Source organism: Homo sapiens, chromosome 2 (assembly GCF_000001405.40).
Source record: "Homo sapiens chromosome 2, GRCh38.p14 Primary Assembly".
Classification (NCBI taxonomy): domain Eukaryota; kingdom Metazoa; phylum Chordata; class Mammalia; order Primates; family Hominidae; genus Homo; species Homo sapiens.
The window spans coordinates 145,023,753-145,049,240 of NC_000002.12; the positions used below are offsets into that span (position 1 = coordinate 145,023,753).

The window sequence follows — 25,488 nt, forward strand, 5'->3', positions numbered from 1 at the left end:
ATCTTCCCTAAGCCTCAGTTTTCTCATCTGTAAGATGGAGTAAGTCTTCTGCAAGATGGAGTAAGTACTTCATTTAGTTGTTGAGGGAATGTAAATATATTATTAACTGTTGGCACATAGTACAGATTCAATAATTATTAGCTATTATTGCTGTTTGTTATTGACCTCATCAGCAGCATGTTTCCTGGCTATCTGTTCTGGTAAATTTAGATTCATATTCTCTGTGGAGGTGAAATATGAAATCAGCTTTCTCTTTCTACTCTCACTGAGTTAATGACAGTAAATCAACGACAGCTTTCTTATTCAACCCTACCTTTGCAAAGCTATTGAAAAATTTGAATTAAAAGCCAATTAATCCTGTATTAATGAGGTCTCTTTCAATTGACGGAGATAAAAAGTCAACTCAATCTCTCTTTTATATTTTCTTATGTTTCCAGGAATTCTGTCCTGTGGACTCTTTTCTTCCCTTGCCACATCTCTCCTCCCCTTGCTCGTTTTCCTCTCTCTCTCTCTCTCACACAGACACACACACACACACACACACACACACACACACACACACACACATATTTTTAATCTCTCTCCCTCCCTTTTCCAGGACTTACTTTCCTGTATGATGGATTCATTTTAAACAAGCTGTCTCCACATGATGGCAAATATCATGATGGCAAATATGATGCTGAATATCTGTAATGGATATACATTAACAGGTTACTACTGTGCCCTATTTTTTTCTACATGTACTATTCTTTATATGGGAATAATTTTTTTTTCCCAGTGAATATCTTTATTACTATTTTTCTTTATTTCTTGTAAAAAATGGGATACATGTGCAGAACATGCAGGTTTGTTACGTAGGTATACGTGTGCCATGGTGGTTTGCTGCACCTATTGACCCGTCCTCTAAGTTCCCTCCCCTCATCCCCCATCCCCCTGGTGTGTGATGTTCCCTTCCCTGTGTCCATGTGTTCTCAATGTTCAACTCCCACTTATGAGTGAGAATATGCAGTTTTTGATTTTCTATTTCTGTGTTAGATTACTGAGGATAATGGCTTCCAGCTTCATCCATGTCCCTGCAAAGGACATGATCTCATTCATTTTTATCGCTGCATGGTATTCCATGGAGTATATGTACCACATTTTCTTCATTCAATCTATCATTGATGGGCATTTGGGTTGGTTCCACGTCTTTGCGATTGTAAATAGTGCTGCAATAAATATATCTGTGCATGTGTCTTTATAGTAGAATGATTTATAATCCTTTGGGTATATACCCAGTAATGGGATTGCTGGGTCAAATGGTATTTCACATTCTAGATCCTTGAGGAATCACCATACTGTCTTCCACAGTGGTTGAAGTAATTTACATTTTATATGGGAATAATTTTGTAATGCACTTGCCTAAAATAATGTGACACTCCTGTCTCCTATAAACATATTTACCCCTTCCAAAGGAGAAATAAAGCTAAATCTTGCCCTGTTACTGCTTCTCAGGTGTATCTTCAGGATCTTTGAGGGGTATATATTTGCCTTGAGTTTGATTCTGATGTGGAAATTCCATGGTTCACTCACTGAGTGCTTAATGGTATTTTCTAGTATCCCCTCCATAGATGATAGAGCAGGAAGGAGAGGATAAATTTATTAAAACTACCATTTAGAAAAAGAGAGAAAGGGAAACAACTTACAATGGTCTGGAGTTTTTGGCATATATCATATTCTTTTGGACTGGAGTAGCAGGACTGCTCTCTTCCGGTAGTAGAGAGCTTTCCATGGTCCCCCAGTCTGGCTGCCCTAAGATCTGCTTTCTGAAAGATGTCTCTTGTCCATTGTGTCATAGCCTTATCTGAGAGGGACAAAGGTCCTTGTGCCATGACAAAGTGGCTTTAGCAGCTCATGTCATCCTCATAGGAGCCAGTAACTAGGGGACTGACTCAGGGGTTGGCAATTCCTAGCTCTTTGCCAGTTTTGAGTTTCTTTGATAAATACCTTTAAAAACCTAAGGAGTCTTCCTGCCTATTTTTTTTAACTTTAAGGGCTTCTACATATTATTGATTCTAAGACGCACATTTTCTTTTTTAAAAATTTATTTTTTATTCCAATAGGATTTTAGGGAGAAGGTGGTGTTTGGTTATATGCGTAAGTTCTCTAGTGGTGATTTCTGAGATTTTGGTGCACCCATCACCCAAGCAGTGTACACTGTACCCAAGTAGTGTTTTATTTCTCACCCACCTCCCACCCTTTGTCACGAGTCCCCAAAGTCCGTTGTATAAGATGTACATTTTCTTTTCACCTTTTAACATTTCTGAACTTGGGAAGTGTGTTACAATCAGTAGTGGCTTAGATAAGAAAAAGTAAATTAGTTCCTAAATCTAGTGAATGCTGGTGTCAAGGGCTAGATTCTAGACCCTGGTCTAGGTGTACCTTCTTTCAGTAAGAGCCTTGACATTTTGCTCACACCTTCCCTACCACCCGTGCTGGCAATGAATGCACTAAAAAGGGCAAAAGCCACTTGTATAAAATTCATTGGTTAGAGTGGCTAAGAAGTGGGTGGGACATGATAGGCAAAGTGAAACACATTAACGTACCTATGAATTACCTTCATGATATTTCATATTTAACTATTTACTGTTGTAAGTATTTCTGATATTCATCAATATCATTTACATTAGTATTGACATCATGTAGCATATTGGCTACATTCTCTTTCAAAACATCTCTTGATACCGCTCACATAAATACAATGAAGCTTGTATTCGATTCACGTGGTTATGATGGAACCTGACATTTGAAAAATTTCCACGTGCTAGTAAATTCACCAGTGTGGTCTCTCTTTATTTATAATCTCTATGGAAGTATTGTCATTTCTGTGTTTTTTTATTGTGTGTGCATTTGTTTTTGTTTTCTTTTAGTTAACATCAGCAAAATCCATGTAGTCTTTTGCAGATTCAGTCTATTCTCAGATGACTGTTGGATTTAGTATATCTCCAAAGCGCAGAGTTTAGACACGTTGCTGACAAAGGCAGCATCACATCAGTCTTCTTTTCATCCAGCCCTCTCAGTTCTGTATCTATTTACTGTGCCCACTTCCTTTCCAGTCTGCACTTCAGTAACTCAGTACCTTTCCATTCCTTAAAGGACACCGCTATCAAAACCCTCATCAAGAAGTAGGCCTGGCACTCATTACTGTCACTTTGAAATGAATTAATGTCAAGTCTAGTTGTGCTTTCATTTTACACTAAGACATTTAGGAAAACTATTTCTCAGTGAACAGATTGAAGGAGTAGACTTCACCCTTTTCCCCGGAAGTATGTCTAGTGAAAATACTACTTACACCGATTAAAAATAAAGTTGATCTTAGAAGATGGGTTAGGTGAAGACATAGATCAGTGCTTAGCAAGCTTAATCGTGAAAATTATCTTGAGCATTTAAAAAATGTAGTTTCCTGGGCCCAGTTCCAGACTCATCGGGTCAGCCTCTCAGGAATAAGGTCTTGAGAATGGTATTTTTAATGAGCTCCCCAGGCAGTTCTTGTGACCAGGCAAGTTGTTATAAAATAAGCCAATAACAGGAGAGGATGTAAACATAAGAGAACACAGTGGATGTCACAAGATACGACATGGCATGCAAAAGGGTAAAACTTTGATCTATGTTTTTCAAGCACATATATAGTTCGTATAATCACTGAAATTGTATTGCTTCTCTTAGAATTTATCTTTCCTATATCGTAAAACTTTAATACATCCAAGAGGTAGAAGGTTGCATGCATGCTGTTTGAAACCAGGGAGAATAAATAAGACTAAATCCCACAAGCTACAAATACAGAGATTCTATGGAATCCAGATATGCTGCTACATCCAGATACATAAACAAAATCCATTGACCTTGTTTTTCTCCTGCATAGTAACTTGACTCCAAATTTAGCATTTCTTTCCTTTCTTCATTTACTTGGGTCTTTCTAATATGAAGTTATTCCACAAGTGATTTTATTACTTTAGGGAAGGGCACTTTTATAGGTAAAATGATGAAAATCATAATCTCTAATAACTTTGTACTATTTAATATTTCTGTATTTAGGAACTAAATTAAAAGTGTTCCAACATCAATTTTTAAATTAAATTACCATCTATCCAGGTGATATTGAAATGATTAAAATGTATTTCTTTACACAATTTAGACAGTGCTGAGTTGCAAATATCTTGGCAGAGGGATAAAACTAGGATAATCAAAGGTGTTGACAAAAGATTTATTCTAAAGTATGATGGTCCCTTTTTAAACGAAACCTTTTTATGGCAAGTATTCATAACACTTGTCATTCATTCAACATTTCTGATGTAATTACTTAATTTGTTTTTAAATGTACACTAAGCTTAGGGGCATAAATTTTATATTCCATTTAGTCTCTGGTTTATAAATCTGTGGCCAGTTACTAGTGGCATTTTTGTTAGCCTGAAAAAAGAGACTGAACTGCTCAAGGTCTGAGATCATCTGTCCTATGGTTTTCCAGATCTCCTCGTGTAAGGATTTGTGAACCCAGCAAAGAGAAAGAGTTAAGCCTATTCTCCTAGTTGGCAGAAACTTTGTAGTTTAAAATTACATACTGACTCTGGTGTAGAGACACAAGAAATTATAGAGCAGACACTGTCCAGGACAACGTATAATTTAAAATGTACTAAGGAATGTATGCCGCATGGCAAAGTAAGTGAAGTGCTTCTTCAGATATAAGTGTTTTGCATAGAAAGGCAGTAATTATCCACTCCTAGGGAAATGTTTGCATTCATTCTAAATCAATATTTACTATTCATTTCTTGTGTTCAACAGAACAGGGATTTAACTTTTTTTAAATTTTAATGAAGCACTAAGACTGCAATAATTCTACAATGTAATTGTCTTGATATGAAATATTGCTAAATGGTGTTGCTATTTCGGGAAAGAGCAGTGTGAAATGGAAGGGTATCCCTGTTTGTGAAATGTTACTTTAGGAACATTCAATTCAAACTCAGCCGAGCAGGGCGACTCACCCGTTTTCAAAGATAACTTAAGCTGTCTCCTTGGTAAGGCCCTAAACTAGGTTCATTTAGATGAGTCTTTGCCTTTATATATATATTTTTTCTCCTAACACACTCTTTCCTCGTAATGATTCTGTTTCAATTCAACTGTTCCCTTTTGGGTGTGTGTGTGTGTGTGAGAGAGAAACTCCTCTATAAATTGGAACTTTTATTTTTTTTTTCCTGCAGAAAGAAAATATTTCTTGCCCCCTTCCCCTCCAAATTCCCCCTGGCTTTTTAGTTCAAAAGGACCTTAAAGAAAATGTTGGAGGAAAATATAAGAAAATAGGGCACATGAATACATATTCTGAGACAAGACTCAAGGTCTCCAGCACATTTTTATTTATGGAGCTTATGATCTGATCATTCTATGACTTTTCCTTAGAAAATGACTATAATTTTTTATTATGGAGTCCGAAAAAGAACTGGACAATATAACAATATGTTATATTACAACATGAATACTCCTTTTCTTGGCCACAGAAACAATAACGGCTTTGCCACTGAGTTTCAGTCAGGACAGAGCCCATCGTGCACGCTATTACATTACCAAATGCCACATAAATGCTCAGGTTTCTGTGAGCAAATATTTTTGTCTTCTACTTTTATGTGTAATTTTGAACTCATCGTTTTCTGTTCTTTTTCCTTTGCTTTTTCATTCCTGTTTTGGGTAAGGTCAAGGAAATGTCTCTTTGAAAATCTCACCATTCCCATGAGGTTTTTCAGATTTTTATATTGATCATCTATTTGATATTACAATTTAATACAAATTATATATTTTCAGATTCACAGATTCTATAGTGTCTCAATGTTAAAATGAGATTGAGAGTAGAGAAGGAGCCAAAAGTAAATGATATACCTTTACAATTTTATCACATAGTTCCTTTGGCTGCTCTGACTTTAAAATATTCGTAGAACAGCAGTGCAGATGGGTCTGCACTAACATTCCCTCTCTTTGCCTTCCTGCCATTCATAATTCATGTGAGCTCTTTGAGTGAATTACTCTTTGGTATGCACTCTGGGGACAAATAGTATCATTTATGTATTGTGATTGCTACTCTATTTTATCTTCCTTTTTATTGACAAGAAACAAGGGTGTTGCTTATAGTTATGAAAGTAAATTGGGTGCAGAAATTGTCCTTCTCTTTCTGAGAGAGGCACCTTCTTTCTGCAGGAAGTGCTATTGTAAACTGTACTGTTATAAATGGTGTGTTAGTTCTCAAGATATTCCTATCTCAGTGTATGAAGCAACAAAGTGTTGCTTTAGCATTCAGTAGAGAGAGCCAATGGAAAAGCAGGCCGTTAAGGACACGTTCCTAAAGTCTGGAAAATCAATGGGACACTAAAAAGGGAACTGAAGTGGACCGGAAGGAACCTCTTGAGGGTCATTTAAAGAACCAGAAACTGATTATGAACACAGCTTTTAACCAGGGAACTGGAGGGGGCCAGCAAACCCATTCTTCTGCACTCCAGTTAAATATCTAATAGTTGAGATGTTTTCTGCACAGCCCATAAAGGATAATGAGGAAGGCTTTGATAGCCTTAAAGAAAGTCACTCTGTGGCCTCTCACAAAAACATGATCTGAGTATGAGTGGCAAATGCATGCAGACCCCAAAATAAACAGAGGCAATACCAGCTAGGTAAGATAGTTACTTTGTTGATTTCATAGGAGAGGGGTCCTAATAGAACTTTGTGCCTGAAGAAAAATAAAAGTAAGGAATGTCAGAATGTAAAATCTGAGATCTCACTTACTTAAGCAGAGACCTTCTAGAGACCTTGAAATTTTCAGTAATTTTACCTCTACATGGTGACTATTTCATGTAGGTTAAATTAAGGATTAACCTGCATTCTTTATTTTATTATACTGTATTTTTGGGGTGAAGAATTATCCCTTATATTAAGGGATTAAATAATATTGGGGTTAAAATATTTTTATATTAGTCCTCTCAAATTGCAATCAGTTCTGAGTTAATCTTCTATAATTCCTATCTTTACCCTCTAGTTCCAGCAAAGATAGACTTTGTGAATAATTTTTTAAAAAGAAGAACATTTGTGTTGACACATTTATATTCTTTGATAATGAAAAAAATAGTTTTGTTAACTGTTCTTTTTATGATGCCTTTGCTACTCTTAGCAAAAGTCTATTAAAAAGAGAAACCTTAACATCCTCTCCTATGGCACTGAAGACACTTGCACTGACCTTGTATTCACTCTTTCAGAATGAGACATTTACATTGAATAAGAAAATAGTTGAATACTTTCATTCACAGATACAGTTTGTTACATTGTTAGTGGGCTAGTCCACCTAGAATGAAGCAATGCTGTCTCCTGGACTCCAGGCCATAATTGATCAGTCAGTCAATTACTTAACAGACATTGCACACCTTCTTGGCATGGCATTCCAAACAACTATTGAGAGTTAGCTGAAGCAGGACAGCTTCAAACAGAATAGAGAACCATCCGTGCTCCAAGACTCTCCTTATTTAACTCACACTTGACCAAAATCTACTGCATTATAGTGTTATGTCTGAAAATGTGGCCTTCCATAAGAATCAAATAATTATACTCTTTGAATAGATTCTGTAAGAAAGAAAAGGGCTCTGAAAGTGCAAGGAGTATCCTCAACTAATCATCGAAAGCCTAGTGCTTACATTTACATGAGTATACAGGCTGTGTATCCTGGTGCTGCAATCCTGGAAGACTGACACGCATATGGCAGGGAGGGTTACCAAATCAAACCTGGTCATCACTCACACCTGGGCATGTTTCAGTCCCCAGTGGGGTCCAGTGCAGTATCATTCATGGTTAGGTGCCTCCTTTTACAATTACTTCACTGTTTATGTCAGCACTTCTCAAACTTTTTGCTTTCAAGATCCTGTTACACTAAAAAGTTATTGAGAACATGTAATAATTATGTGTTATAGCTATCAATATTACCCTACTAGAAATTAAAACTGACATTGTAAACATTTACTTATTAATATATTCTCAAAATATCTCTTCCATGTTAACATAAGTGTGGTTTTATTTGATTAAAAAATAACCACATTTTTTCCAAGCCAAAAGTATTTAGTGAGAAGAGTAGCACTGTATTTATATAGTACTATTTTATAATGAGATTTTAGTAAATCTTATTAATTGTCTGGGTTCTTATATCTGCTTCTTCATTCAATTTATTGTCATATTGAATAGTATCTTGCGTCTGGAAAAACCTCCTTTGTACACCCATGGGAAAGTGAGGATGAAATAAACAAAATCATCTTAATATTACTATGCAAATAGTTCTGATCCTGCAGAATCTCCACAATGCTAATTTTATAAAACATTGAATCCACGTGCCTATCTACACTCCCCTGTATGATGGGTTCAGCATAACCTGACACTTAATAGGTACTTTCATGTAGAACTGTGTGATTATGGAGAACATTCTGTCACCCTGGATCTCTTCTCAGGACCACTTCTCTTTACCTTCAAAGAAGTTTAAGAAAGAAAAGAAGATAATAAAAATGAAAAAAATAGACTCGTGGGATCCTTATGAGGAACAAAATTATATTCCTGGGACTCTGGATTTCTGTAATCCTTCTGAAGTAGTCAACCTTAGTAGGTTCTAAAATGATTTCAGAAACATGTTAGTTTCAAAGAAAATAGGATATTGAAAGTGTGTTGTGTGGCATGGATGGGGCACGGCTAAACAACATATCTAGATCCTGCTGATGTTTTATCATATGATCATGGATGCAATATAGCACAGCTTATTAACGTAAGTGCCATAATTTTCAGATAGGTATAACTATCTGTGAATAGCCAAATTAATCTATTCAAAGTATTGTAAGCCTTGAAAAAGCAACAGAAGTATTTTCACAGTTTGAAATTGGTTTTTTGATAATGCGAGTTTAAGATCGACATTTCTCATCTATTTGTTTAGCTAATGCTTGTTGATCACCTACTGTGTAGTGTGGGAAAAACATACAAGGAGATATATCTTCTGCCTTCAAATATCTTACAGTCTAGTGAAATCTACCAGTAAAACACAACAGTTAATAATACAGAGTAATAAATGTTAGGGAGACCAAGATGACTTAAGAATGCATAAAAGAGGATATGGCCCAGTCTTGTAGGAAGAGTGAGGTTTCCTAGGAAAAGTAAAGGTATCTTAAGAATGAATGGAATTGGTCTGGTTGGAATTCATATGGAACAGGGAAGATATGCCGAGTAGCAGGCAAGTTGAGAGAGCATGCAATTTGTTTGCTGATGTGAGAGAATTTCTGATGGCTAGAGTGAGGAGCATGTGGGTCAATAAGAGAGGGATTAAAATGTGAAAAAAGAGAAGGGAAGTGACTTGAAAAAAGTTTGGACTTATTTTTGAGATAATTATGGAGTCCTCGAAGGGTTTTAATGAAAAGATAATCACAAATAAGCTTGCATTTTATCAAATTCACTTTGGCTTCAATTTAGACATAGAAGCCAAGACTAGTTAACAGACTGTTGTGCTGACCCTAGAAAAAGGGGTTGGAGGCCTACTTAGGGAAGCAGTTGAACTGATCATGGAAAGTGGAAAAATTCTAAATATATTGAGAAAGGTGAATAAACAGGCTTTAATGATTGGTACAGATGTGAGGACAGGGTGAAGAGCAATACTTAGTGTTTTCAGTAGGTTGCTGACGTAGCAATTGAATACTTTCATTGAAATAGGGAGTCCAGTAGGAGGAATATATTGGTGCAGGTGTGGGAGATAGGAAATGAATTCAGTACTTTTGAGATATCCAAGTTGATATCTCATGTTGAGTATTGCATGGCATCTGTGGAGTCCACTAGAATATGAAATCCATCAGATTGATGACTCATGACATTATGGAGTTCACAAAATTATGGAATCCACTTGACTAACTTCCATAAAATGGAAAACCTTATCACTTTGCTTCTTATTCTTATCTGTGTGTGTGTGTGTGTGTGTGTGTGTGTGTATCTGTATGTGTATCCTACTGTATTAGTCCATGCTGCTATAAAGACATACATAAGACTGGGAAGGAAAAGAGGTTTACTTGGACTTACAGTTCCATATGGCTGGGGAGGCCTCAGAACCATGGCAGGAGGCAAAAGGCACTTCTTACATGGCGGCAGCAAGAGAAAATGAGAAAGATGCAAAAGCGGAAACCCCTGATAAAACCATCAGATCTCGTGAGGCTTATTCACTACCACGAGAACAGTATGGGGGACACTGGCCCCATGATTCAAATTATCTCCCACCAGGTCCCTCCCACAACACATGGGAATTCTGTGTACAATTCAAGATGATATTTCAGTGGGGACACAGCCAAACCATATCTCCTACTATATATCTGATGAATAGTTAAAATTCAATAAATATTTATATAATAAATTAATTAAAAATAGCATCAATAAAAAATCTGAAGATCAGAGGAGAGACTTAGAATGACTTTATAGATTTGGAAGTCGTTAGCATATGGATGAGATTGAGGTCAAGGGAGTAGCTGCAATAAGCACAGGTAGATAATGTGGAGTGAAATGAGAAGGGACATTAAAAAGTATCTGGGGGAGTTGCAACTTATTAGTAGATAAGGAATAGACAGAGGAAACTTAAAAGTAACTTAAGAAACAGAGGAAAATGAACCTATAAACACTACAGAAAACAAGAGCCAGAAATAAATTATATCAATCAATGTTTTTATAAGAAACAGTGGCTGAGTATCTTATACAAATATAACTTTACTGAAGAATATCCGGAGATAACAGAAATAATGAGGATATGGAGAACTAGGTTTGGAAAATGGGTATGAATAAACCAAGCTCTGGAGAACTGGATAGCATAAAAGACAATAAATGCAATGCAGAAGGAATTGGGAGAGGGTTGTCACTGCCAGTAAATGAAAATGGTCTCTAACTATCCCTACATCTGGACTTGATCAAGCTTCAAGCCCTAGGAGAAAGTATCTGATTAACTGAGCCTTGCTTACAGCACTGCACCTTGTTCTAGGGAAAAGAGAAGGTTTTGTCCCTTCAGTTTCCATAAATGAGAAGCAACTGTCACCCACCAAAACTCCATACCAATGGAGCATTCCCCAAAAGGTAAGTAGAAATGACAATAGGAGGGGGAGGGTAGAGGTTGAGTTGAACAACAACAACAAAATGACAAAGGTCTTTATGAGACAAAAGATAGAAAACTGTGGCAATCTGGTAAATACAGATAAATTTGGGTAAGAGATAAAAGCAAATACTTATTCATTGGCAGTAGCAACAAGAGGATTATCGGTAACTTAGGTAAGTGCAGTACGAGTAGAGTGCTGGAAACCAGTAGTGCTAGAAACCAGGGAAGAATAAGTTGAGGTGTGAGAGTTGAGTGAGAGAGTAGAAATAAGGTAGACAACTCTTTTAAGAATTTTAGTTTGCAGTAAAACAAAACTTAATTTGTTTTATGTTTTGGAAAATTCAGAATGGTAGGGAAAACAATTCACTCTTAGGTAGGGATTTTTTAATTCTGATGGTCAGGGTAGGAGTTTTAAAGCTTGCAGGACCATAGATGGATACATTTCTGTATCTGGGCATTTGTCTATACACTGGAATCCTTTGCTCTTTTTGTAGGACACCAATAAGTTGCAGAACTCTTTAAGTGCCTTTGCCTTTGCCTCTTAAGGTCTTGGCTAATGATTTACCACTTTAATGCCTTAATGTACAGTGCTGTTATGCTTAATGTTGGTGTCTTCATAGTTAGAACCTACTAGCGTTGGCTACTTAAGAAGAATTAAAGAAGTCCAGAGCTCCAGCTACATAATTTTGTTTCTCATAAGGATCCCAAGAACTAGGATTTCAAGCACATTGAGGACAGGAGCTATTCCTCACAGTACTGACCACAGTATTGAGCACAAAATAGTGCCCATGCTTAGGAAATACTGATTGATTAGTTTATTGATTTTTGAGAACATTGACTAAAGTGACATTTACCTACAAATTTTCACAGAAGTTATTTTTGTTTTCTTTTTTGAAGTTTCATTTGATATATTTTTTACTCCCTTTATCAGCTCCCCTATGCAAAGCTGTTATGAAAAAGCATGATAAGGTGTGCATTTTTGCACTTTAAGAATAAATTTTTAGATTGGAAACATTGAAAACAAACTGAAACCAATGAAAAGTGTATTTTACTGACTTATATCTAAAAATGGCACTGCCCAATTTAAGCTATTTTTAAAACCTGTATATTCATGCAGCTTGCATACCAAAATGAAAATTGGTGAGCTATAAACCCTTGAAAAACAGGGTTTATAATGGAAACAGTAATTGACCCTTAAGTACAACATCAAAAATACAATACTATATAATACAAAGCCCAGGGCTTGGGATCCCATCTCTGTTCTAACCTCAGACTGGCACACTAACCCAACACCACAAAGCCAACTAATAGTTATATTTTGAGATGTTTTCTTCTTACATGGCAGAGAAAATGGATAAGCGATCCAATAGCCACATGCAGCTAAGTTTCACAGAACCAGCACCCTAAATATCTTTAATAAACTCACAACTCTTTTTCAGAGCCAATACCCAGTAAAATAATTGGACTTACTTGGAAAAACAATTTATTTATTGTTTTTAAATGGAAACTCCTACTCCTGAAGTCGTGCCATGTTGCATCATGGTCTTTGGGTATGTGACATTATACCACAGGATGCGGTGAAGCTAGAATGACCAGTTGTCAGGAAAGCTCATGGAATCACGGAACATACTCAGAATATTTAGAGTTGTCTTCAACTTTGCTCTAGTTCATAGTTGGTCCAGTTTTCCCATTTTCTAAACCACAACTACCCATTTTTATCAAGAGAAAATGTGATCTAAACTAAAGAGAAAAATGCAAGTATTAAACTTGATTAATGAGATCTGAAGGGTATATTCAGATTCCGGGTTTCAATTTCAACTTGGCTCTAGGCAAAGAGGGGTGTGTGCACACATACAAAGAATCTTAGCCGATACTCTTTTGTTGTTGCTGTTATGGTGTGGAGGGGAAGGGGTTAAGGGAGTTTATTGCTAAAGAAGGAAAGTTCAGAGATTCCTTTCATTTTAAGGTTGAAATATGTGAGCATTGCCAGCTTATTTTTTTAAGAAGCTTCCAAAGAATTTGTCAGCTGAAAATAGTCAAGATTTTGCCTTCTAAAATGTCATCTATTTACACAAATCGAGCAGGACTATTTGGTGTTTCCTTCTTGGGCATTCTGTTTCTGTTGCATGTATAACTTATGAACTTGTAAAATGAGTGAAATATTATTGATTTCATTTATCTACATAAAACCTCTTCGTCTATTCTGTGACCAAGACACTAACTGAGCTTTGGAGTAAGGACCGTGGGAGAGGTTGGAACTGGGACAGAGAAGGGTATTTTCTTTGTGAGAGTGTTCAGAGGATTTTAGAAGCGATGGTGTCTTTTCTAGGATTTAGCAGTTTTGCTAATTGTAATTAAAATGTTGTCTTTGTATGGTGATATGAATAGCTAATATGCATCTTAAAATTTCAGTGCTTAAAAATAAATACAAATCAATTCTGATGTTACAACAGAGCACTTTTATGGCATTTTTCATGCCTTTCTTTAAGTACTAAGATCTGTCTCAGATAACTTCAGGATATTATGATTTCTATTATTTACTGAATGTTAGATTTTTTTAAGCGCCCCCCACACACATATTTGAACACAAATACATACCTTCTTCCCTATTTTCTCTCTTATTCCCTATGTCCTTCCTTATAATTCATTCATATACTGTATTTGCTTCATCCTAATTTCTACTCTTCGTGAATTCTGTATTTTCTTTCAAGGCTTATTACGACTACACATAAATAATTATGTAGTGGGTTACGGTTTTGAAATGTTAGCTGATACATTACCTTTTATATCCTTATACCCTTAGTTCTTCCCCTAAAATTCAGGAAAGTAATAACGTGGTAAAATGCTAAGTAAAAATTGGTAAAGTCTTAGCTTTTGAGTTTCGAAAGCCTATTTTTCTGGGGAAGTAGAAAAACTCAGGGCATAGACAAAACATTTGAAAAACTACCCAATACATTCAGAGCCAAGCTGCCTTATTGCCATTAGTTAAAACCTTCTCAGCCTGGGGAGGTGTACAGAAAGTTGGAAAATAAACATTGAAAATTTAGAATGGGTGGGTCCCTGAGAAAAGAACAAGACCCTGCGTCCTTCTCTTTGGTTAGTCCTTGATGGGTGGGAAGAAGGATGTGTAAGGGAGAGGGAAAGTGGGGCAACAGTCACCCAAAACAGGATATGTCAAAGCACCGGGTCTCACGCAGAGCCAAGGCTTCAGGCAAGGACATCAAGTGTCAAGGTCACAGCCTGAATGGGAACCTCTGAGATGTCTGGTGTCCTGGTCTTCACCCACTAGTCCACACGGGCTGCTTCTGGATCCTGCCTGGCAAAACGGTTCAGGACTGGTGGTTTTTTCTTTTTCTCTTCCTTTCCAGGCCCCCTCTTGCATCTCTGAGCAAAATTCTGCCAGTCTCATGGTCTGCTGGGGTCACAGGAATCTCTGAGAGGCCTTTTGTCATATTTTTGGCTACGCTTAAGCACATGGGCATTATGCTACTGTCATGAGATGCAAACACTCTCTGAGCCAACTCAGATCCACCAGGCCTGACAGCCTGCAGCCTGCTGCTCCCACCCCCAAGTCTCCACGTGGGAAAGGAGCACCAGTCTCCTCACACTCAGCCAGCCAATCTAAGATTTCTATTTTTCCCTTGCCTGAACCTGACTAGGTAGAAGAGGAAGCAGATAGCCAGAAATCTTTCTTCAGGACTCACTCAACATGTACCCTATCATCCTCTAGGAAACTGAATACTTTATCTTGAAATATGATATCTTGGTTCTAACTCACTGATTAATACATTTTTTACAACCTGAGGTTTATTTCTTTGCTTCCTTTTGAGGACTAAGCTAAGAATAGACTTGTTTGTTTGAATTTTTTTTTTTAATTTAAGTTGTGGCATATTCCTTTCCTGAGGCAAAAGCATAGAAGATATTAATTGGCTAAATAAAGAAAGTCTAAGAAAATATATAGAAAATATATGAATTCACATTTCAAAATATCACCCTACCACAATTATTTGTGCAGTTATTCATTTAATACACATCTCTCCTGCTAAAATATAAGCTCTTTTGAAGGCAGTATCATTTTTGTGTTCATCACTCTATGCTCAGCAACTTGTACCATTGCCTGAAACATAGTAAGTGCTCAATAAATATTTATTGAATAAATGAATAATAACATAGTAAAAAAATGCCTAAAGCAATTCTTGTTACTACTAGGTGTTACTTCATCCATCCATAATGCAAAATTAGAATGAGGTAAGATACAGTGAGCCTTTTTGTTTTTTAACCATTGTTGATCTGAGTGAGATTTGAATAATCTGTTGAGAGAAAAATCATCATTTAGATTAATGTAGAATTTCTAGCAAATTGATTAACTTAGAGTAGTTAAAAATTCTTTTTAAGTATAACTCTGCAAGGTACACAAGGTTATAATGAGGAACACAAGACTCATGAAAACTTTGTTCCTAGTTCTGAGTATTAGTTATAAAGTAATTTTCCTTTTTAAAAAGAATGCTGTAAGGTTTTTATTTTATTCTTGGCTCAAAGCAAAATTTCAGGTGAATTCATCTTTGATTCTTTTTTGAGGTGCTCTCTAAAACTCTATTTCAATAACAATTACCTGCTAAAAATTCCTACTCCCTAGGCTGTTGTATCTGAATGTAGTTCTCATTGACCTAAATGGAGAGGAAAAGTGTGTTGCCGAAGGGAGATACTCCAGAGATTCTCTCTTCTGTTGTGTCACAGAAGTGTGTGTGTGTATTTGTGCACATATGTGCTCAAGAGTCACTAACCTACATGTTTTCACCCATGCAAGAAAAAAGAATTCAATTCTGGGAATTAAAAACTAGACTTAATGTATACTTCCAACTGTATAGAACATACAGATTAACAGAGGAGAATATTCCTATTCTACTCAATGATTCCATAGAGATAGACCTGGAAGTTTCTTAAACATTGTTGTGTATGTGTTTGTGTGTGTTTGTGTGTGTGTGTGTGTGTGTGCGCGCTAATCTGTGGGCAATGTGCATGATTAGAATGAATCAAAATATTATAGATAGTAGCAAAATGGAGAGGTCCATTTCCCATAGATCATCTATTGATGGATGGCTGTTTGCTCTGCTTTACTCTGGATCTAATTCATACATTCTTCCCTAGTCATTCAAGCCAACCTTCATTCAATAATGTAAAATGCAACTTTGAAAACACACAATACATATAGAACACACAATAGATAAAACTATAGCTAGTCAGCATGTATTAAGTACTTATGAACGCAGCATATTCTCACTTTTCTTTTTGACAGTTCCTTCATTTAGTTAAAAGTTTTTGTTCTAGAGAGAGAATCAGGTGGAATATGGGAAAGTGAGCTAATAAATTTAATTGGTTGAGGAAATCAATCAAGATGATTTGTCATTTGTAAAATAATTAATGTCTTCACTTCAGCCTAAGGAGATCAACAGAATTACCTTTCTAAATCTTTCTATTGATGTTTATATGTTAAAGATAATTCCGGAGACTTCTTCTTGGTGTTGAGAAAAGTCCATTTTGTTTGTTTTAAATTTTGTATTTTTTTCACATTGATCACTCAAAAGGGAAAAAGATACTAAATATTCATTCATATTTGGAATTTTTTAAATTGTAGAAGCAATCAGCAGTAGTTTAGTAAAAGAAATAAAAATGGATCTACGAATACCACTTCAGTCTTGTGCAATAGAGGAAAGTTTGAGTGATAAAGTTTGAATCTGTTGTGGACTGACATTTCTAAAGCAGTCACCATGAAGCATGACTCAAAAAGCAGATTTTAGCATAGACCACAAAATACATATTTATATTGTAGTTTTTTAAAAAACTATTTCTTATTGTTATGGGAACTTGTCCTGCCTTTGAAATTTTGAAAGAGAAAAAGTAGGAAGAAAGCAATCTTTTTTGAGGCATGTATTTTAGGTGTATGCAGAATTTTTTTTCTTAAATAAGGCTTGTTCCTTTCCTTCTTATATTTCTTTCTTTCATATTAATGTCTATAAGAGTCTTATTATTTCAGGAGTACAACAGAAACTTTTATTTTTTATTTTTAATTAATATATTTTTTTAAATTTTTATCTTTGAAACAGAGTCTTGCTCTGTCCCCCAGGCTGGAGTGCAGTGGTATGATCTTGGCTCACTACAACCTCTGCCTCCTGGGTTCAAGAGACTCTTCTGCCACAGCCTCCTGAGTAGCTAGGACTGCAGGTGCACACCACCACACTGGGCTAATTTTTATTTATTTATTTTTTTAATAAAAACGGGTTTTCACCATGTTGGCTAGGCTGGTCTTGAACTCCTGACCTCAAATCATCTCTCCATCTCGGCCTCCCAGAGTGCTGGGGTTACAGGCATGAGCTACCATGCCAAGCCCAATGGCAACTTTTATCACGACCTGAAAATTGTCACACTGTGGACTGGCTTTGTGAAAAATTAAGAAGATAGTGAATGAACTGGGCTCCTAGTCTTTCCCTTTTTCAGGACATAGGCCTTATCTCTGGAGGGGAACCTTGTCCAATGTTGCCATCAAGATCTGGTATGTCCAATGCTGCTAGTGGATTGAAATCTTGACCAGATTATTCATTACCTTGTTTTTTTCTTTCTACAACTTTTCCTTCTTCTTTCTTTCCTCATCTCTCCCCACCACACTTTCCTCTCCGATTCTACAGGTCTGCAACAACCAGAAACTTAGTCTTCACTAATTATGGCTCCAGGATTCTTGTGATTATTTTACTTTCCATTTAAATAGGATATAATTAATACCATTGAATATTCTGAGCATGTGGCTACTAATGGGTTTCTTTTTGCTCTTGAGAGAGAAACAAATATTGAAACCAGAAGCTGTTGGAGAGATTTGATCTTTTGAAAAAGATATAAAATTTGCTTACTCATATTTATAATTGTGACAAGACCTCTAGGAATCCATGCATTATGTCTTTTATGTGAGGAAAGCAGAGAATGTTTGTTTTGACTGCATTATAACCAAACACTATTAAACAAAGTTGAGTATATTCCTAGCTTCCCTATGCCAGACTAGGTAGTATCTTGTGGCCACTTGAAGGAATTTGGCCTTCACTTGAATGCAGTGGAAGTCACTGACATTTTACTGAGGAGAAGGGGGAAAAGACACAAGTGGTGAATATAGCTAGAATTTTCATTTTGGAAAGAGCAATCTGGATATGGTATGGAAAACCACATTGAATGTGAATGGCTACCTTTGATAGGAGGTTGCTGCAGTAGTCTAAGACAGAGAGGATGAGAGCTTGGACTGGGATGTCGGTAGAGGAAAGAAAAGAACAGAAAGGTGTCAATAAATGTTTTTCTATTATGGAATGGATATGGAGGAGTTTAAGAGAAGGCATGTGCAGAATGCCCCTGGCAACTGACTTGTGCATTGGTGTCCTGAGATGCCCTTCAATGGCGAAGGAGAGTGTTGCTGAGGAAGAAGGCCAGGATAGAAGGAAAACTGTGTGTTTCATTTTGACCTATTGCTTTTGAAATATCCAAGTGAAAGTATCCAGAGAGAAGTGGGATACAAGGCCTGGTGCTCAGAGGAGAGATCTAGACCACAGATATACAACAGTGAAACTTTGTGTGTGGTTCGTCATGGGGAATGAATAAGGCTGCCTAAGAAGAAGATAAAAGGAGGAGAAAAAAGCAACACAACCTGCCCAGGAAAATACAACATTGAAATGATGAAGAAGAAACAAATGTTGAAAAACGAAACCAATGGTCAGGGAGGCGGGAGGAAAAGAAGAAAGTATAATAGTATAAAAGTGGAGGAAAGAGAAGTTACAAGATGGAGGAAAATGAAAATAAAATGTATTACAGGCTCTGCTATCCTGAGGCAAAACTGATTTATATTTTTTGTTTCTTTGTGGGCTTTGTTAGAAGGACTTGCATATGCTACAAAAGCAAAAACAAAAAGCGAAAAAACTAAAATAAAAAAAACTAATGACATTATTCTAACGAGACAGATAAACAGAACTTGGTAGTGGAATCCAATGAGTAAGGCTTGTTCAGTGATTATTAGGTAATTGTGTCACAAATTAGCACCATGGATTTTTCCTTCAAAGCATTTAACATCAGTTGTAACTATAAATTTGCCTTCCTTTCTTCTTTCTCTCTTTTCCCCCTTCCCCTCCCCATGTTTTCTTTCATTGCAGGGACCTTGTCTGGTTTCTACCACTGTGTCCCCAGCATCTAGCATAGTGCCTGCAAAAGTATCCAGAAGGCATTCAATATTTGTAGAGAAACACACAAATGAATCTCAAATATGCAATAAAAAGAGAGAAGCTCTGGATTAGGGGGGAAAAAACAAAAACCTTATACTTCATCCTGCTCCGGATCATTTGGTTTTAAAATATCTAGGGCCTCTCTTTCTTAATACATAAAAGCATATGTCTTGACCAGAAGTATTCCAAGATAACTTCTGGATCCAAAGTTCCATGAGTCTATTTACCTAACTCTGCTAAAATGTTGGGGCAGATCTCTCTGAAAAAAGCTTCTTCTAAAAACATGTTGCCATCCAGGTTGGCTTTATGCTGTGCCAGCGATATTTGAAGAAGGCCAACCCCTTAGAGACATTGCATGATCTCATCCTCTGGCAGCTCACCTATTGGCCATTGCCCTGCCTTGAAGCCAGGAGCCGGTGAGCCTGATAATGTCCCACATCAGCTGTCTTGTTTCCTTTGCTTTTTGCCCCAGGCTTCTGTGCAGCTGCAGAATAAAAGGCCGGGCATGTGCCCCACTGGAAGTGTCTGGAATCCATGGCTTCAATAGACCTTTGACGAGTGGGAAGTTGGAACCATGATGAAATACTGCCCTCTAGACTGATCTCAGGAGGACAATTCTGGGGTGAATTCTATACGGTTTCTCAGAGGGTCCCCGGTAGCACTGAGCCCCCATTTCCACAGTCATATTCAGTTCAATAATATTTTTCCTCCTTTCCTGTTTTGCTTTCTCCAGCGCCCATTGCTAGTTGCTTCCTGGAGGAATTTCCCAAAATAAAAGTGCCTATCCACAAATCCTTCTCCTGAGGCTGCTTTTTTGGAGAATTCAAGTTAAGGAAGATTTCTATTGGATCAGTATATGTACATGAAGTTCACTTTACTCTTCATTCCCAGTGAAAATGCTTTGGCAATTTTGAGTACAATTTAAATATTTTCTTCATTATTTTGCATTTCAGTTTTAGACATGCTTTATCTTTATTCTGTTATAAAACTTTAATTAAGACTTCCAACTCTTATATACTACCTCAGATATCTTCTAGCTTTTATACCAGAGAGATGATAATCTGTAAATAAATATTTAAATGTACTAGAAATTCAGCTATTAAAGGACTATTATGAAGACGTAATCCTTTTGCTGGTAAAAGCAAACTTACTTACTGGCTAGTATATGTATTTTCATGTATTTTAACTCAGATTTTATTTGTGTTATTTCAGGTTTGTATGGATTTTAATCCCTATTGCTGGTGCACTTCACTTGGGCTTGGAAGCTTTTTTCCCATTTTCGTAGTAATGATCCATAAATACTTTGAATAGTATGTACACATAGATATTTCTCTTTTTATTGGGAAAAAAGAAAGTATTTTTCTTGCTGTTCCTGCAACTCATTAATCACAATGCTATATATGCTATTAATTATGCTTAAATGTAGTTTGCTTGTTTAATTTGTGAACCTCCAATAACTCAAGACTTTCAAATTATTTGTCTTCCATGTTGACATTTTGATTACTAAAACATTCCTAAAGCTAGAAGAAGGACTAATAATGTAGGATTAAAACTATGAATCACCTTTTGATTAAACACTCAGCAATCTTTGTTGCTAAATCTTCACTCAGAGACTAACTCTAAGTCTCATTTGAACTTATAGATGTTAATTCCATATTGATCACCATAGCCTGGTAGATGCAATGCATATTCACTCAGCTCATAGTTTTAATTTAAAGTGGATATTGATGCTTTGTAATGAGAACAGTGATCTCTAATCATGCAGCTTCAATAAATAAAGCTGAGGGAACAGTGGGCAGCATTGGTGACAGTGGCATTTGGTGACAATCTGTTCTAAATGTTGAATGTAACATATCTCTTGAGTTCACATGTTCACTCAACTCCATCTCTACTGAAGTAACCTAGACTTCCGTTTATATAGTCTTGATAGTGGTAATAATATATGTGTAAATATAAAGATGTTTATTTTGTAAAATAACTCACACATCTCATCTAATTTGACTTGAAAAATTATCTTTTGATGTGTATGAAACAGTTATAGATATTTCCATTTAGCGTCAGATAAATTGTGTTACTGGTGACCAAATTACAATAACTAACAAATGGGGAATGCAGAAACCAGGTGCTCTGGTTCCTGGGCCAGTGATATTCTAGATTTCCACTGTTCTCTGCTTTATGTTCTCACTACGCATTGTCTCCTCAACTAGTGTCTTCCATACACAAACTCACTCTCTCTCTCACATTCTTCCCTCCTCCACCTGTTTCAATAAATAGTAAGATACACACTGGGAACTAGAACAGCTGAATCTTTTGTATTTTTAGTCAACCTGAATTTTGGATATAATCTTGCTGTGATGGTTAATTTTATGTGTCAGCTTGGTGAGGCTATAGGACCCAGTTATTTAATCAAACATGGAGTGAGGCATTGTCAGATCATGGGTAACATCTATAATCAGTTGACTTTAAGTAAAGGAGACTACCGTGCATAACGTGGTTGGGTCTCATCCAATCATCTGAAGGCCCTAAAAAACCAAACACCACATGTTCTCACTCATAGGTAGGAATTGAACAATGAGAACACATGGACACAGGAAGGGGAATATCACACACCGGGGCCTGTTGTGGGGTGGGGGGAGGGGGGAGGGATAGCATTAGGAGATATACCTAATGTTAAATGACAAGTTAATAGGTGCAGCACACCAACATGGCACATGTATACATATGTAACAAATCTGCACATTGTGCACGTGTACCCTAAAACTTAAAGTATAATATTAAATAAAAAAGAGCAAAAACTGAAGTTTTCCAAAGAAGAAGACATTCTGCCTCAAGACAGTAACAGCAACTCGTGCCTGACTTTCCAACCTGTCAGCCTGCCCTATGGCTTTCAGACTTGCCGGCCTGCCAGCCTCTACAATCCTGTAAGCCAATTCCTTAAAATAAAGCTCCTGATATAACATAGGGTATATATATCCTATTGGTTCTGTTTCCCTGGAGAACTCTGACTGATGCACTTGCCTTACGTTTTCTGAGAATATCAATATAATACAATTTGTACACCACTGACATTGTTATGTTCCTTAAAGGGTCTCTGTACATCTGCTCTTGCCCCTTTCTACTGTCCTTACTCCTTGCCAAAATTTCAATTTTCAATTGTAGTTTTGATACTATAAATTCTCTTCATTTCTTGCATCCTGTCTTAGCAATATTTTCTGTCTTGAAAGTCTTTCTATTTTCTCTATTTTATCTCTAAATTAGTGAGCATGATCTTAATGGATAGAACAAAAAAAAAACTGCCATCAACTGGCTCCCTTCAATCTTCCTATTAATAAACTAAGTAGCACTTTACTTTATACTCAAAATATCTTACATTAGTCACACACACATACACACACACACACAAATACACATAAATGCACGTACACACTGAATTCTAAGGAATATATCTTATTTTTTCATTTGTATAGTGCAACCTATTTATAGTTTCACAGCAGAAGGCTGAGGAGCAAGGAATCACCTACTATAAACTCAATCACAAATACTGATGTTCATTATTAGGGTTTGAATACTTTGATACTTATGGCCTTTGCCTGCTAGTAATGAGGTAGTGAGGCATTTTGGTTGCCTACTGGAATTCTCCTGGATATTCTACATAGAACTGAAATTAAACCTGGTCAAAATTAACTCCCAACTTCTTTTTCCAAACTCTTTTTCTCTTTTATTGTATTCCCCATTGGGTTATTGGTAATATCATCCACTGTTTTCAGTGACTCTTGATTCTACATTTTTCTTCACTATATGTCTCCAATGGGACCCCAAATTCTGCTAATTCCATTCCCTGCTAAATGCACCATGATCTGTTCAGCTTCTATAACTTTTCACACTGATTCATTCAATTAATAAATGTTTATTGAATGTGTACTTTATGTCAGGCATGGTTGTAGGTGCCCACAATACATTAGGGAATAAGGCAAGGAAGTGTACCTTTGTGGAGTTTACGTGTCAAAAGGGTAAGACAGACAATTGACAGTTAATATAATTAATAAATTAATTATGTATGATAGAAGATTTTTTTTCATTAAAGAAAACAGAACAGGGCAAACACCCTGTGAACTGGCTGACTCAATATGTATTTAATAAACATTTTAAAAGTAACAGATTGACTGAAAGCATAGTGTGTTAACCTCTAGGTGTCTTGTGTTCAGTGTCCTAGAAGAAACAAGTTATACTTAAATAAGAACTTAAGTTCATTTATTTGCTTTGGGTGGGTGAAAGTTTTGTTTTGATTTGTTTGCTTTTTGTTTGTCTTTGGTAGAATAGATGAGCAGTCTCAGAAGATGCTGAAAGCATAAAATACCAACTGAGTTGTCTAAATAAGCACAATATTTTGCTTTAATCCTTCCTTCCTTCCTTCCTTCCTTCCTTCCTTCCTTCCTTCCTTCCTTCCTTCCTTCCTTCCTTCCATCCTTCCTTCCCTCCAATTTAGCAAGACTATGTGATTCCTACTGTGATACAGGAACTATGCCTGGCACTGGAGATACAAGGCTTATGAATAAAGAGCCACTGAACTTTAGGCTTTCACAGTCAGGTGGGGAAGCATGCATGTTAAGTCAATGGAAGTCATTAGAGCTCAGTGAGTGGGAGCTAGGGCCCTGGAACTATACTCTCAGGCTCAATTCTAAGTTACTCTGTTTCTGTGGGCCTCATGCTACTTTTCTGCAAAAAAGAAATAATAATAGGACCTACATTCGAAGGTTGTGTTAGGAATAAATTAGTTACAATTTATCAACTGCATAGAAAATACCTGGCATACAGTAATTATTTAATAAATTTTTCAATCTTTTTATTATAAATATAATAACATGAGGAATGTTCAGAGAGAGAAAAACATGCTTGGAGAATATGGAAGCCTATATATGGTTGAACTAAAAGTTAAAAGGTGATTTTATATTATCTTTAAAGGAAGAAGTGAAATCAGATTTCCAGAGTTGAGATGGGGATCAGGTTATTTATGGACTCAAAGATACAGTGAGTTTGGGAAGAGCCCTTGGTGATGAATAGAAGCAAGACATGTTGAAGAGCAAGAACTATGTTTGAAATTTCAAGATAAAACATATTAGAGAATAGAGACAAGGTGGAACTACCTGGGAAATATACATGGCAGGAAAACCAACTCTTTGTAAAGCCATAGAAAGATAGTTGAGTTTGGGCCAGGTGTGGTGGCTCATGCCTGTAATCCCAGCGCTTTGGGAGGCTGAGGGAGGTGGATCCACTTGAGGCCAGGAGTTCAGGATAAGCCTGGCCAACATGGCAAAACCCCATCTCTACTAAAGGTACAAAACATTAGCCAAGCATGGTGGCACACATCTGTCGTCTTAGCTACTCAGGAGGCTGAGGCAGGAGAATTGCTTGAACCTAGGAAGTGGAGGTTGCGGTGAGCCAAGATTGCACCACTTAACTCCTGCCTAGGTGACAGAGCAAGACTCTGTCTTAAAAAAAAGAAAGAAAGAAAGAAAGAAAAAAGTTGAGTTTTTACTTTAGTAGTTAAGCTAGAACTTCAGTATTAGTGGATTATTTTTGGCAAATAGTTGTTGTTTGCATCTTAAATTGTAACTGTTAACTTCAAAGTGCTAGTCATTGTTTGGGACTTGAGAAACTTGAAACTTTGTAATTTAAAAATTACACCATCCTTAGCAGATTTTTATGTTTATTCTATGTCCTATGTTTCCCTAAATATAAAATGAACTTGAGTACTATGAAATCATTTATATTCTCATCATTTTAATCTTCTTTCTAGTTAATATTTTAAACTACAGAATTTCATATGTTATGATTTTTGCTTGGCAGATTTTTTTTCAGGTTATACCTAAATATGAGTTCATGAACACTTTTATGTGATGTATACATGTTAACACTAATTTCAATTAGATAATATATTACATTGCTTCTCATTGTTAATGTGTAATGGAAAGATAATATTTTTTCCTAAAAATAAAAAGAATAGCAATTTACTTCCTGACATAAAGTAATCTTAATATATACTCATACACAAAGTCCATGAAGGTGTGTATTTATCTTCAAAGAAAA

The 25,488-nt window shown here is 36.4% G+C and overlaps 2 long non-coding RNA genes across 2 annotated transcripts in view; both read left to right on the top strand.

Annotated features, from left to right (window-relative positions):
* TEX41 (testis expressed 41) overlaps positions 1-25,488 on the top strand; it is a 408,763-nt gene that overhangs the window by 355,786 nt on the left and 27,489 nt on the right. The window lies entirely within an intron of this gene.
* The window catches only part of LOC100505498 (uncharacterized), a 257,710-nt gene that overhangs the window by 17,352 nt on the left and 214,870 nt on the right, over positions 1-25,488 (top strand). The window lies entirely within an intron of this gene.